This window comes from Homo sapiens, chromosome 3, assembly GCF_000001405.40.
Source record: "Homo sapiens chromosome 3, GRCh38.p14 Primary Assembly".
Taxonomy (NCBI): Eukaryota; Metazoa; Chordata; class Mammalia; order Primates; family Hominidae; genus Homo; species Homo sapiens.
This window is the reverse complement of record NC_000003.12, coordinates 128703754-128716393: the sequence shown is the minus strand read 5'-3', so window position 1 is coordinate 128716393 and position 12640 is coordinate 128703754. Positions and strand designations below refer to the sequence as shown.

The 12640-nt window shown below is 48.0% G+C and overlaps 1 non-coding gene across 1 annotated transcript; it reads left to right on the top strand.

Moving 5' to 3' along the window:
* The first annotated feature begins 1688 nt into the window (after window positions 1-1688).
* LOC124900558 (small nucleolar RNA SNORA24) lies at window positions 1689-1823 on the top strand. Its single transcript, XR_007096307.1, has one exon. It is a non-coding gene; the product is annotated as a small nucleolar RNA SNORA24 (small nucleolar RNA).
* The last annotated feature ends 10817 nt before the right edge of the window (window positions 1824-12640 follow it).

Here is a 12640-nt window from a genome sequence, read left to right as displayed (position 1 = left end):
CCTGGAGGTGGAGGTTGCAGTGAGCTGAGATTGTGCACTCCAGCCTGGGCAACAAAGTGAAACTCCGTCTAAAAAAAAAAAAAAACACCAAAAATTAGCCAGGTGTGATGGCACAGGCCTGTAATCCCAGCTACTTGGAAGGCTGAAGCATGAGAATCACTTGAACCCATGAGGTGGAGGTTGCAGTGAGCCCAGATCATGCCACTGCACCCAGCCTGGGCAACATAGCAAGGCTCTGTCTCAAAAATAAAATAATAAAATAATAAAATGGGGCAGGTGCAATGGCTCACGCCTGTAATCCCAGCACTTTGGAGGGCCAAGGTGGGCAGATCACCTGAGGTCAGGAGTTCAAGACCAGCCTGGCCAACATGGCAAAATCCCATCTCTACTAAAAATACAAAAAAAAAAAAAAAAATTAGCCAGGTGTGGCACCCGCCTGTAGTCCCAGCTACTTGGGAGGCTGAGGCAGACTAATCACTTGAACCTGAGAGGCAGAGGTTGCACTGAGCCAAGGTCACACCACTGCACTCCAGCCTGGGTGACAGAGCGAGATTCCTTCTTAAAAATATATAAATAAATAAATAAATAATAAAATGGTGATGATAAACCCTACCTCTGAGTTCTTGTGAGAATCAGATGTGAAAATGATTTATAAAGCACTCCTTCAGCCAGACACAGTGGCACATACCTGTAGTCCCAGCTACTCCAGAGGCTGAGGCAGGAGGATCACTTGAGCCCAGGAGTTTGAGTCCATCCTGGGCAACATAGCAAGACTCCATCTCTTAAAAAAACAACTTAAAAACAAATAAATAAAGTTCTCCTTTACATTACAAGAGAATGACTGACATTACATGTCAGTTGCCAGGTGAGATAAATCTCATGTGGTAGCTTGAGGCACTTTTCTATTAGGTGCTATAAAGGAAGTAAAGGTTTGTCCATTCATTTATTCAAAAGCAATCAATTTTTAGCTTCCAGAGTATGACCACAGGGACACAGAGATGAACCAGTGCACCAGGAGCTCCCAGTTCTATGTATGTGGCTGGGGGAACACCCACAGGAAGACAACCGCACATCACACTAGCACGTAATCTCCCATCCTTCCTCTTCCTTGTGCCACACTAGCCACAGCTGCTTTTTAGAGCCTTCCTGCACACAGGCTGCATTGCACCCCTCTGCCCACAGTGACTCTTTTGGAAGAGGGCACTTGACCACATCCAGGGCACTCAGGGCCAATAACACTCAATGGATCTGTTTTAGGATGGAAGGAGCATGAAGAAAGATTAAAGCATGTCTAGAATTGTTGGGGACTTCCTGTCACCTTGAGAGAACCTGAGAACCTGAGAACCTGAGAGTGAAGCTGTCTTTGGCCGTGCCTGCTGCTATAACAAAATACCTTAGACAGGGTCATTTATAAACAATAGAAATTTATTACTCAGAGTTCTGGTGCCTGAGAAGTCCAAGATCAAAGCACTGGAAGATTCAGTGTCTGGTGAGGGCTTGCTCTTTGCTTCCAAAATGGTGCATTCTGTCTGAGTCTTCCCATGGCAGAGGGAGTGGGAGGGATGATCAGGTTCCCTCAAGCCCTTTTGTAAGGCCACTGGTCTCTTTCATGAGGGTAGAGCCCTAATCACCTCCCAAAGGGCACACCCCTTAATACCATCATTTTGATGGTTAAGTTCCAACATAGTCTCCATGTGTCTTTGGAACCTGTCAGCTGTGGCAGTTGCCCTTCCTAGCCATGGAAGAGTAAGTATATTCTTGTTTATTGGCAAAGCTGTCACCATTTCATTGGTATCAGATTCTGACTTGCACAAGTAACATTCTTCACCATTAAAAACCTAGAGGCTGCTGGGTTATTGGGCAAACTTTTCCAAACTATTGTTCAAATGTTTCTAGAAAAAAAAAAAAAAGTTTCCAACATAGGAATTTTGGGAAGGGGCACCAACATTCAGTCGATAGCAGAAGCCAAGTCAAAATAAGAGGAAAACAGGCTGGGTGCAGTGGCTCATGCCTGTAATCCCAGCACTTTGGGAGGCCGAGGCAGGTGGATCACCTGAGGTCAGGAGTTCGAGACCAGCCTGACCAACATGGAGAAACCCCGTCTCTACTAAAAATACAAAATTAGCCAGGCATCGGGGTGCATGCCTCTAATCCCAGCTATTCAGGAGGCTGAGGCAGGAGAATCGTTTGAACCTGGGAGGCAGAAGTTGCAGTGAGCCGAGATCATGCCATTGCACTCCAACCTGGGTGACAAGAGCGAAACTCCATCTCAAAAAAAAAAGTGGGGGGGGAGGGGGCGATGAGACCCTATCTCAAAATAGAGGAAAACGAGGAAATGAAGAGGGACTTGTCTAAGTGATGCAATTTTGGGCACCTGTATTTAGCCATGCCAGAAGCCATCTGCTCCCCTCCCTGTCCCTCTTGGTCCCCAACCCCACTTTTAGGCCTTTACCACTTGCTTAATGGAAAGTCACAGCCGCACCCAGGGGCTGCCTCAGAGTGGACTCAGAGGCTTTGGCTTCCCCAGTGACTGCCCAGATGAGCCAGGTAATATAACCCAGAAATGTGGGGAGTGAACTTTCCTATGAGTAAACTCTGACCAGCAAGACAGGATTCAGAAAGGAACTGAGGGGTAAAATCTCTACTTTACCTCTTCTCAGTAGACTGTTGAGCATGACCTCCCTGGAGATGTCGCATGGGACTAGGTTATCAGAATTTGCAAATACAAATACTTATGTTAAAACATTATTTGCGTTCATCTGAAATTCAAATTTAATCAGGCATCCTTTTTTTGATCTGGCAGCCCAAACCCAACGACCATGTTTGCTGAGACTCTGTGGCCAGTTTGGTGACACGCGACCTTGTCTTTGCTTTTCCTCCTGCACTCTGTTCTTTACTCCTCTCTTTCCTTTACTCTTGCTGCCCTGGGATTGAATCCCATAAGATTATAGCACGTTAAGCTTGTTCTCTGGCTCTTTTTCTAGAGGGCAAACAAAGAAAGGCAAGCCAAATCAGGTAGGATTTCTGTCACTTGCATCTGAAGAATCCTTAAAACAAAAATGTAGCCTCAGTTCCCCCTCCTGTGGGATAAGGATGACTATTTCTGCCCCATTGACAGCCTTGGATGGATGGTGCTATTGTTTGGATATTTGTTCCCTTCAAATCTCATGTTGAAATGTAATCTGCAGCATTGGAGGTGGGGCCTGATTGGGGTGTTTGGGTCATGGAGGTGGATCCTTCATGAATGGTTTGGTGCCCTCCTTGTAATGAATGAGTTATCGCTCCAAGTTCACATGAGATCTGGTTGTTTAAAAGAATGTGGCACCTCCCCGCTTCCTCTCTCTTGCTCTCAATCTCACCATGTGACATTCCTGCTCCCCCCTGGCCTTCTGCAACAATTGGGAGCATCCTGAGGCCCTCAGCAGAAGCAGATGCTGGCACCACGCTTCCTGTACAGCCTGCAGAACCGTGAGCCAATTACCCAGACTCAGGTATTCCTTTATAGTGATGCAAATGGAGTGACACAGATGGGAAGATCAAATGGCCTGAGGAAGGACAGGCGGTAACACCAGGACCAATGGGCCACTCTAGTGGGCTTGAGCCCCAGCACTGCCTCCTGCCACACTGAGCTCATGAGGCTGCTAGGAAATGGGGCTGCTTGCCCTGCTGTGGCTGTGGGTTCCTTCTGTGTTCTCTCAGTGGGATGATGTCTCCCCTGGCTCCGCTTCACCAGACCACAGCACCTGCCTGCTTCAGACCTTGCCAGTCAGATTAACAAGCACCAGGGAGACCAAGAGGACTGGGGCACTGCCTTTACCCTGCCACTCTTTCTACAGCGTGGACTGCAGCCCTCCATGCTGACAGGGTTGTGGGAGGCTCGGCCTGTCTTTACCTAACGAACGCTTGCCTCTCCCTGAGTGCGCCTGCAATTCCCTTTGCCTAGAATGACCCTAACATGGCCTTCAAGGCCCTGCACTATCTGGCCTTTATCCATCTTTCATTTATTTATTCAGTCAACAAACACAGCTTGGGCAGACTGTGTGGCAGGCACTGTTCTAGGCACTGTCTACCAAGAGACAGCAGTGAACAAAACACAGACAGAAATCCCTGCCTTCATGGGACTTACAGTCTAGTGGCAGAGACAGAAAATAAAGCATGTACGTAAGAGAAATACATAGCATAATAGGCAATAAGAAGTGTGATGGGGAAAAATAAAGCAGGAATGACAGGTGGGGACACACCCTGGCCCCATCTAACCTCAGTCTCTCCCCAGTCAACCCATTCCCACCATGCTGGCCTTCTTCCTGTCTCAAGAGCACCAAGCTCCTTCCCACCTTGGGGCCTTTGTGCCTCTAGTTCCTCTGTCTAGGAAAGTCTCCTCCTTCCCCTTCCCTAATGCAAAGATTGTTGCATGGCTGGATTCTTCTTACCATTGGGGTCTCAGCTCAAGTGACACTCCAGGGAGGCCCTGCTGGATCATCTGGTCCAGTGCCTTTTCCCAGTTATTCTTTATCCCATTACCTGTTACACTGGTATGTTTTCTCCATGTCACCACTTTGAGAACTGCTCCTCTGTACTTTATGTATTTACATGCTCAGTGTTTCTGCCCCTAGAATTTCAGCACCATGAGAGTGGAGGACTTTGTCTGTCTGGTTTGCTGCTGCCCCTCCAATGCCTGGAACATAGTAGGTGCTCAGTGAGTAGTTACTGAGTTACTGACACAGTTATTGCTCTTTTGTCCTCCCCCCACCCCCACCCCAAGTTCATTTTCTTTCACCTAAAGAACTCCTACTTTTCCTTTAAGACTAGTCTAGCAAGAGACCGGGCGCGGTGGCTCATGCCTGTATTTCCAGCACTTTGGGAGGCCGGGGTGGGCAGATCACAACATGGTAAAACCCCTTTTTACAAAAAATACAAAAGTTAGCCAGGCGTGGTGGCACACACCTGTAATTCCAGCTGCTCAGGAGGCTGAGGTGGGAGGATGGCTTGAGCCTGGGAGGCAGAGGTAGCAGTGAGTCAAGAACACGCCACTTCTCCACTCCAGCCTAGGCGATAGAGCCAGACCTTGCCTCAAAAACAAAAACAAACAAACAAACAAAAAGACTATCTAGCAGAGAGACACCAGTAAAGACTACAATACTGTATTAATTAAGGTAACCCTAGCTGCTATAACAAATAGGCCTTCAAAGGAATTACGTCTCAGACATAATTGAAGCAGGTGGCTTTCCTCTATACATTGATCCTGGGTGCTGGGCTCTGTCCACCTTGTGGCAGCACCATTCCTAAGAATCTTGTCATTGCCCAAATACAGCTGGTAGCAGGACATTGACAGTGTGTAGACGACACACCCGCTTCTTAAAGGCCTTGGTGTGGAAGTGACACATGTGGGTTCTGCTCACATTCCTTTGGCAAGAGCCAGTAGTATGACCACCTAGATGTAAGAGGCAGTGGGAAATGAGGTGCCAGCTGGACAGCTGCTTTCCAGCAACATCCACATGCTGTAGAAGAGGGAGAATAAACTGTGCTTGAGAAACTGTATTTCTGGGCCAGTTGCGGTGGCTCACGCCTGTAATCCCTGAACTTTGGGAGGCCCAGGTGGGCGGATCACTTGAGGTCAGGAGTTGGAGACCAGCCTGGCCAATGTGGTGAAACCCCATCTCTACTAAAAATAGAAAAAATTAGCTATGCGTGGTGGCAGGCACCTGTAATCCCAGCTACTCAGGAGGCTGAGGCCAGAAGAATCACTTGAACCCGGGAGGTGGAGGTTGCAGTGAGCAGAGATCACTCCACTGCACTCCAGCCTGAGTGACAGAGCAAGACTCCATCTCAAAAAAAAAAAAAAAGTAATTGTATTTCTGCCTCGGCCACAAATACAGTGTCTCTGCTGCAAATACAGTGTGGTAAAGGAAGCAAAGGAGCTAGGATGACCCAGTAGAGGCACTTAATATAGCCAGAAAGTTAGAGTAGTCAAGCAGGGCTTTCCTGAGGAGACAGTGCTGAGGTGGCTCATGAAGGGTAAGAATCTGTTGGGCAAAGGAAGAGGAAGGTTGTTGCCAGCAAAGGGACCACCATGTGCGGAGGTTTGGTGAAAAGAGAGCATGTCATAAATCGTCCCAGAAAGTGCTGATATATTTATTGCCAAAGGGACAGAGTTAGAGTGAAGGAAGCAGGAACAGCAAAGAAACCCAAGCAGAAAGATCAGGTCATGCCAGGTGGTGAAAGCCTGGACTCGAATGTTTAAGAGGGACTTTTCCTGTTTTCCTGGTATTGACGATGGAGATCCAAAATTTATGACAAATAGTGCTGTGGACCTCACGCTTAAGGATGATTCAAAGACTCTGTTGAGATTGGGGCAAGAACATGCCCCAGGTATGTACAAAGAGGTGGCAGAACCGGCCCTACTACAATCACTCATCCCTCCCCACCCCCAATATGAGCACAAGTGTGAGAAGAAGTGACAGAGGTAATCCATGCTAGTCACTGCCCACTGGGGAATACTAGGGTTTTCTTTCCTTCCTCACTATTGCCAAAGTGAGGGGATTCTAGAAAACTTATTCTGAAAGCCTCGGAGGCAGTGCTATCAGCAGGGAAGATGAGCATCTCATTTCCCAGTGGAACCTCCAATGAGGCAGCAGATGGGTCGATCCTGCCCTCTGCCTCCCTGGAGAGGGAAGGAAGAGTGAGGTAGCCAGAGGGAGGTGGGGGGGTACTAGGAGGGATGGAGGGGGGGGCGCGGGGGCGGGGTGTGGCGGGGCAGGAGGAGACTGCAGGGGAGCTGCCTGCAAAGCCTCAAGCTTCAGGGAAGAGAACAAGGAGGACTTTCCCAGAGTGTAGCACTGGGCTTGAGCCATTGTATCAGTTATCTATTGCTGCAACACAAAACACCTCAAAACTTAGTACCTTAAAGCAATAGTCATTTATTATGTTGTGATTTCTGTGGGCTAGGGGTTCCGACAGGGCACGGTGTGAATGACTTATCTCTACTACATCATGCTTGGGGCCTCAGCTGAAAATCTCAAGGGCTGGGGCCTAGAGCCATCTGAAGCCTTGTCTGGGGCTGGAGGGCCTGCTTCCAAGGTGGTTCGCTGGAGTGGCTGGCAAACTGGTGCTGACAACTGGGCTTCTCTCCACAGGGTTGCTTGAGTGTCCTCAAGGCAGGGCAGCTGACCTCACCCCGAGAGAACAAGCCAAAGGCCCAAGGTAGCACCGCAGGGTCTCATATGACCAAGCCTCAGAAGTCATGCACTGTCCCTCTGACAGAATGCTGCCTGTCACCCAGGCCAGCTTTGATTCAGTGTGAGAGGAGACTACAGATGGACATGAACACCAGTGGGTATGCACCACTGGGGCCAACCCAGAGGCCGAAGATCACATGCATCTTGCTGGCTTCTCACCCAGAAGGACTGGCCTGGGAATGGGGAGCCCTGGAGAGGAGCTGAGGGGGCAAGAAGACATCAAACCCGAGGCAGGTCTCTCTCCTTATGGCCCTGAGCTGGGAGGAAGGCCCCACAGTGTTCTGTGGATAACGTGCAGGTGCCCTATGTGAGACTCTGGGCACACAGAGGGCGCTGATGGCCAGTGAGCATAGCCGGAGAAGCAGAAGTGACCCCATATCATCTATGAAGAAGACTTCTGGCCAGGCATGGTGGCTCAGACCCATAATCCCAGCATTTTGGGAGGCCAAGCTGGGCAGATGGCTTGAGCCCAGGAGTTTGAAACCAGCCTGGGCAACCTGGTGAAACCTCATCCCTACAAGAAGTACAAAAATTAGCTGGATGTGGTGGCATGTGCCTGTGGTCCCAGCTACTCAGTAGACTGAGGCAGAAGGATCACTTGATCCCAGGAGGTTGAGGGTGCAGTAAGCTGTGATCATGCCACTCTACTCCAGCCTGGGTGACAGAGCAAGACTTTGTCTAACAAAATAAAAATAAAAAATTAGCTGACCATGCTGCCACGTGCCTGTGATCCCAGCTACTCAGGAGGCTATGGTGAGAGGATTGCTTGAGCCCAGGAGTTTGAGGCTACAGTGAGCTATGATTGCACCACTGCACTTCAGTCTGGGCAAGAGTGAGACCTTGTCTAAAAAAAAAAAAACAAACAAAAACACTCCTTTCCCAACTACTGTCACCTTTGTCATAAATCAGATGACAGTATGTTAATGTGTCTATTTCTAGACTCTGTCCTGTCCTATTGATCTGTTTGCCTGTCCTTATGCCAATACCACACTGTACTATATTTACATAATATGTGTATTATATTTACATAACGGGTCCTAATATCTGGTGGTGTAAGCCCTCCAACTTTTTCTTCCTCTGACAGATTGCCTTGGCAATCTGAGGTCATCTCCAGCCCTGACTGGGGAGGGATCCACTTTGAAGCTCAGCAGTTCATCCCCTGCCTGCTGGTTGGTGTCTGGAGACATCAGTTCCTTGCCACATGGACCTCTCCACAGGGCTGCTCATGCACATGACACGGCAACCAGCTTCCCTGGGGGGAGGATGCGAGTAACAGAGAGAAGGAGGGACCCAGAGTCTCCATCATGGGAGCCATCGTGTCACAGCTTAATATCGGAAGTAACATTCTATCATTTCTGCTGTATTCTGTTTGTTAGAAGTGAGGAATCAAATCTGGCCCACACCAGAGGGGAGAGGTTTACACAAGAATGTGACTATCAGAAGGTGAGAATCACTGGGGGTCATCTTACAGGCTGCTGACCTACCACATGTACAAAACAGATTGCTTTGTAACCTACTTTTTTTTATTATTAAGATATAATTCAGCCAGGCGTGGTGGCTCACGCCTGTAATCCCAACACTTTGGGAGACCGAGGTGGGCAGATCACCTGAGGCCAGGATGGTCTTGAACGCCTGACCTCATGATCCACCCTCCTTGGCCTCCCAAAGTGCTGAGATTACAGGCGTGAGCCACCACACCCAGCCCTCTTTTTTTTTTTTTTTTTTTTGAGATGGAGTCTTGCTCTGTCGCCCAGGCTGCAGTGCAGTGGCGCAATCTCGGCTCACTGCAAGCTCCGCCTCCCGGGTTCACACCATTCTCCTGCCTTAGCCTCCCAAGTAGCTGGGACTACAGGTGCCCGCCACGATGCCCAGCTAACTTTTTGTATTTTTTTAGTAGAGACGGGGCTTCACTCTGTTAGCCAGGATTGTCTCGATCTCCTCACCTTGTGATCCATCCGCCTTGGCCTCCCAAAGTGCTGAGATGACAGGCGTGAGCCACCGTGCCCGGCCTTTTTTTTTGAATGGCATTATAACTAGATGAACTTCTTCAAATATGACTAATTATTCTACAGTATGATATTTTCATGGCTGATTAGGATTCCATCCTATAAATAAATTATTGCTTATTTAGCAACCACCTCCCAAATGTGCTGCTGAAGCTAGTTTGCACTGAGTCTCAAGAGCCGCTTATGAATATCTCTTTCCAATTCTGTGTTAGTGAAATTCCATCGGTACCTTGAAATCAGCCTGGCAAAAATGTTTACATCACAGAAATTGGCAAAAGCTCTAGAACGTTCATCCCCACTCACAACCAACAGGCAGCTATCAAACATTTAACTTGCTTTGTCATGGGGAGGTTCCTGGTAAGAGTTCTGGGGGCAGGCACCACAACAGAGAGCCACATCGAGACCACATTTTATTCATTGTGTATCCCTGAGACTCAGCAGAAGGCCTACCACATATTAGGTGATAAGGACATTTTCTTCTTTTTGTGTATGTGTTTCTTGACATGGTTGGATTCCCAATCTGAGTACCATTTTATAATCCTTCTCGATTTAGTATTACTTCAAAGCTTCTTATACATTGACACATAATTGTCATTATTTTAACGGCTGTAATTTTCCTTTGAATCAATAAGTCATTAGTTCTTTAACCTCTTCCATGTTGACTTACTCTTAGGTTATTTCCAGTGATTCACAGTGATGGACATCTCTACATAATGAGCTTCCTGAGTCTTGTTGAACCTCCTTTATTATTTTTAGAGATAGGGTATCACCATCTCACCCAGGCTGGAGTAGAGTGGTGAGATCATAGCTCACTGGATCTTTGAACACCTGGCCTCAGGGGCTCCTCCCGCCTCAGGCTCCCAGGTAGATGGAATTACAGGTATACATGCCACCATGCCCAGCTAATTTTTTTTCTTTTTGAGAGGGAGTCTTGCTCTGTCACCCAGGCTGGAATGCAATGGCGTGATCTTGGCTCACTGCAACTTCTGGCTCCCAGGCTCAGGCGATTCTCCTGCCTCAGCCGCCTGAGTAGCTGGGATTACAGACATGTGCCACCACGCCTGGCTAATTTTTGTGTTTTTAGTAGAGATGGGGTTTTACCATGTTGGCCAGGCTGGTCTTGAACTCCTTACCTCAGGTGATCCACCCACCTTGGCCTCCCAAAGTGCTGGGATTACAGACGTGAGCCACCGCACCCAGCCTAATTTTTTTTTTTTTTTAGAGATGGGGGTCTCACTATGTTGCCTAGGCTGGTCTTGAACTCCTGGGCTCACACAATGCTCCTGCCTTGACCTCCCAAAGTGCTAGGAGTACAGGCATAAGCCACCACGCCTGGCTGGAGCTCCTTTAAAGCTGGGAACAGGCCACTTTGCCAAAAGAGCAGTTGAGACAGTGTGAAAAATACATATGACCTCCTAAGTCATTAATTACTTTATATAGTGAGAGTCTGTTTATGACTGAGTCTAGCACCTGCTTTAGGAATCCAAGAAAAACATGGGCCTGAATCTCACAATCACAAAAAACATCCTACATTTAGAAATTTAATGCTTATCATATCACTCCATAGTCCTGAACCAGGATCAATCACAGTATATATTCAGATGCTGTAAAAGAGAATCAAAATACATGTGCAGGTGGACAGTCACTGGCACCTGTAATTCCAGCTACTTGGAGGCTGAGGCAGAAGGATCGCCTGAGCCCAGGAGTTGTTTGGTCTTTTGTTTTTTGTTTGTTTGTTCGATTTTTAAACAAGATCTCACTCTGTCACCCAGGCTGGGGTGCAGTGGCACAATTGCGGTTCACTGCAGGCTTGACCTCCTGGGCTCAAGCGATCCTCCTGCCTCAGCCTCCTGAGTAGCTGGGACTATGTATGAGCCGCAGCACCTGCATCATCATTTTTGTGTTAAAAGCATTAAGTTGGCAAACTTAAACCTTTAGACTGTTCTAGAAACTTTAATACTTTAATACCCTATTTCAATCTCCTTTTTTTGTTTTTTAATAATAAGCCAGGAGCTAAAAGGAATTGGCTCAGACTTTCCTCACCTGTGATAGCAAAGAGATGATCTCTGCCCTCTTAGTCAAGTGTGGGAGACACACATGTAAATATATCATTTAAAAAGGTACACACAAAAAGCTACAGAGGGCCAGAATATGACTTCTTCTCCAGAAGGTAAGAAAAAGCTTGTAAGAAGAGGCAATTCATTCATTTGGTGGAAAAAGCAACAAAGAACATTCTAGATAAAGGGAATGGCTTTGGCTGGGTGTGGTGGCTCACGCGTGTAATCCCAGCATTTTGGGAGGCAGAGATGGGAGGATCGAGTGAGGTCAGGAGTTCAAGACCAGCCTGGCCAACCTGGCAAAACCCCATCTCTACTAAAAATACAAAAATTAGCCAGCCGCAATGGTGTGCGCCTATAATCCCAGCTACTCAGGACACTGAGGCAGGAGAATTGCTTGAACCTGGGAAGCAGAGGTTGCAGTAAGTGGAGATTGCGCCACTGAACTCCAGCTTGGGTGACAGAGCAAGACTCTGCCTCAAAAAAAAAAAAAAAAAGGGAACAGCTTGAGCAAAGGCACTGCGTGGTGGAGGTACCCCAGTGTCTTAATCTGTTTTGTGCTGCTATAACAAAATACCTGAGATTGGGTAACTTATAAGGAACAGAAATTTCTTTTTTCTTTTTCTTTTTTTTTTTGAGACGGAGTCTGGCTCTGTCGCCCAGGCTGGAGTGCAGTGGCGAGATCTCGGCTCACTGCAAGCTCCACCTCCCGGATTCCTGCCACTCTCCTGCCTCCACCTCCCGAGTAGCTGGGACTACAGGTGCCTGCCACCACGCCCGGATAATTTTTTTGTATTTTTAGTAGAGACGGGGTTTCACCGTGTTAGCCAGGATGGTCTGGATCTCCTGACCTCGTGATCCACCCGCCTTGGCCTCCCAAAGTGCTGGGATTACAGGCGTGAGCCACTGCGCCCGGCCCAGAAATTTATTTCTTAAAGATCTGGAAGCTGAGAAGTCCAAGCTTAAGGCTCCAGCAGATCCAGTTGTCTGCTCTCTGCCTCCAAGGTGGTGCCTTGTTGCAGTGTCCTCTGGAGGGAAGGAACACCGTGGCCTCACATGGAGGAAGGCAGAAGGGCAAGAGAGCTGGAGGCTGCTGCAACAAGCCTGTTTTATAAAGGCCTTAATCCCATCCATGAAGGAGGAGCCCCTATGATCTAATCATCTCCTTAAGCTCCCTCCTCTTACTATCACTTCAGTAGCTATTAAGTTTCAACACTTGAATTATGGACGGGACACGTTCAAACCATAGTACCTGACAATTCACCTGAACACAGAGTACATGTGGGTTGGATGAGTGGCTAGAGACCAAGCTGAAGAGGTAGGCTGGGCCCCAGTGTTGGAG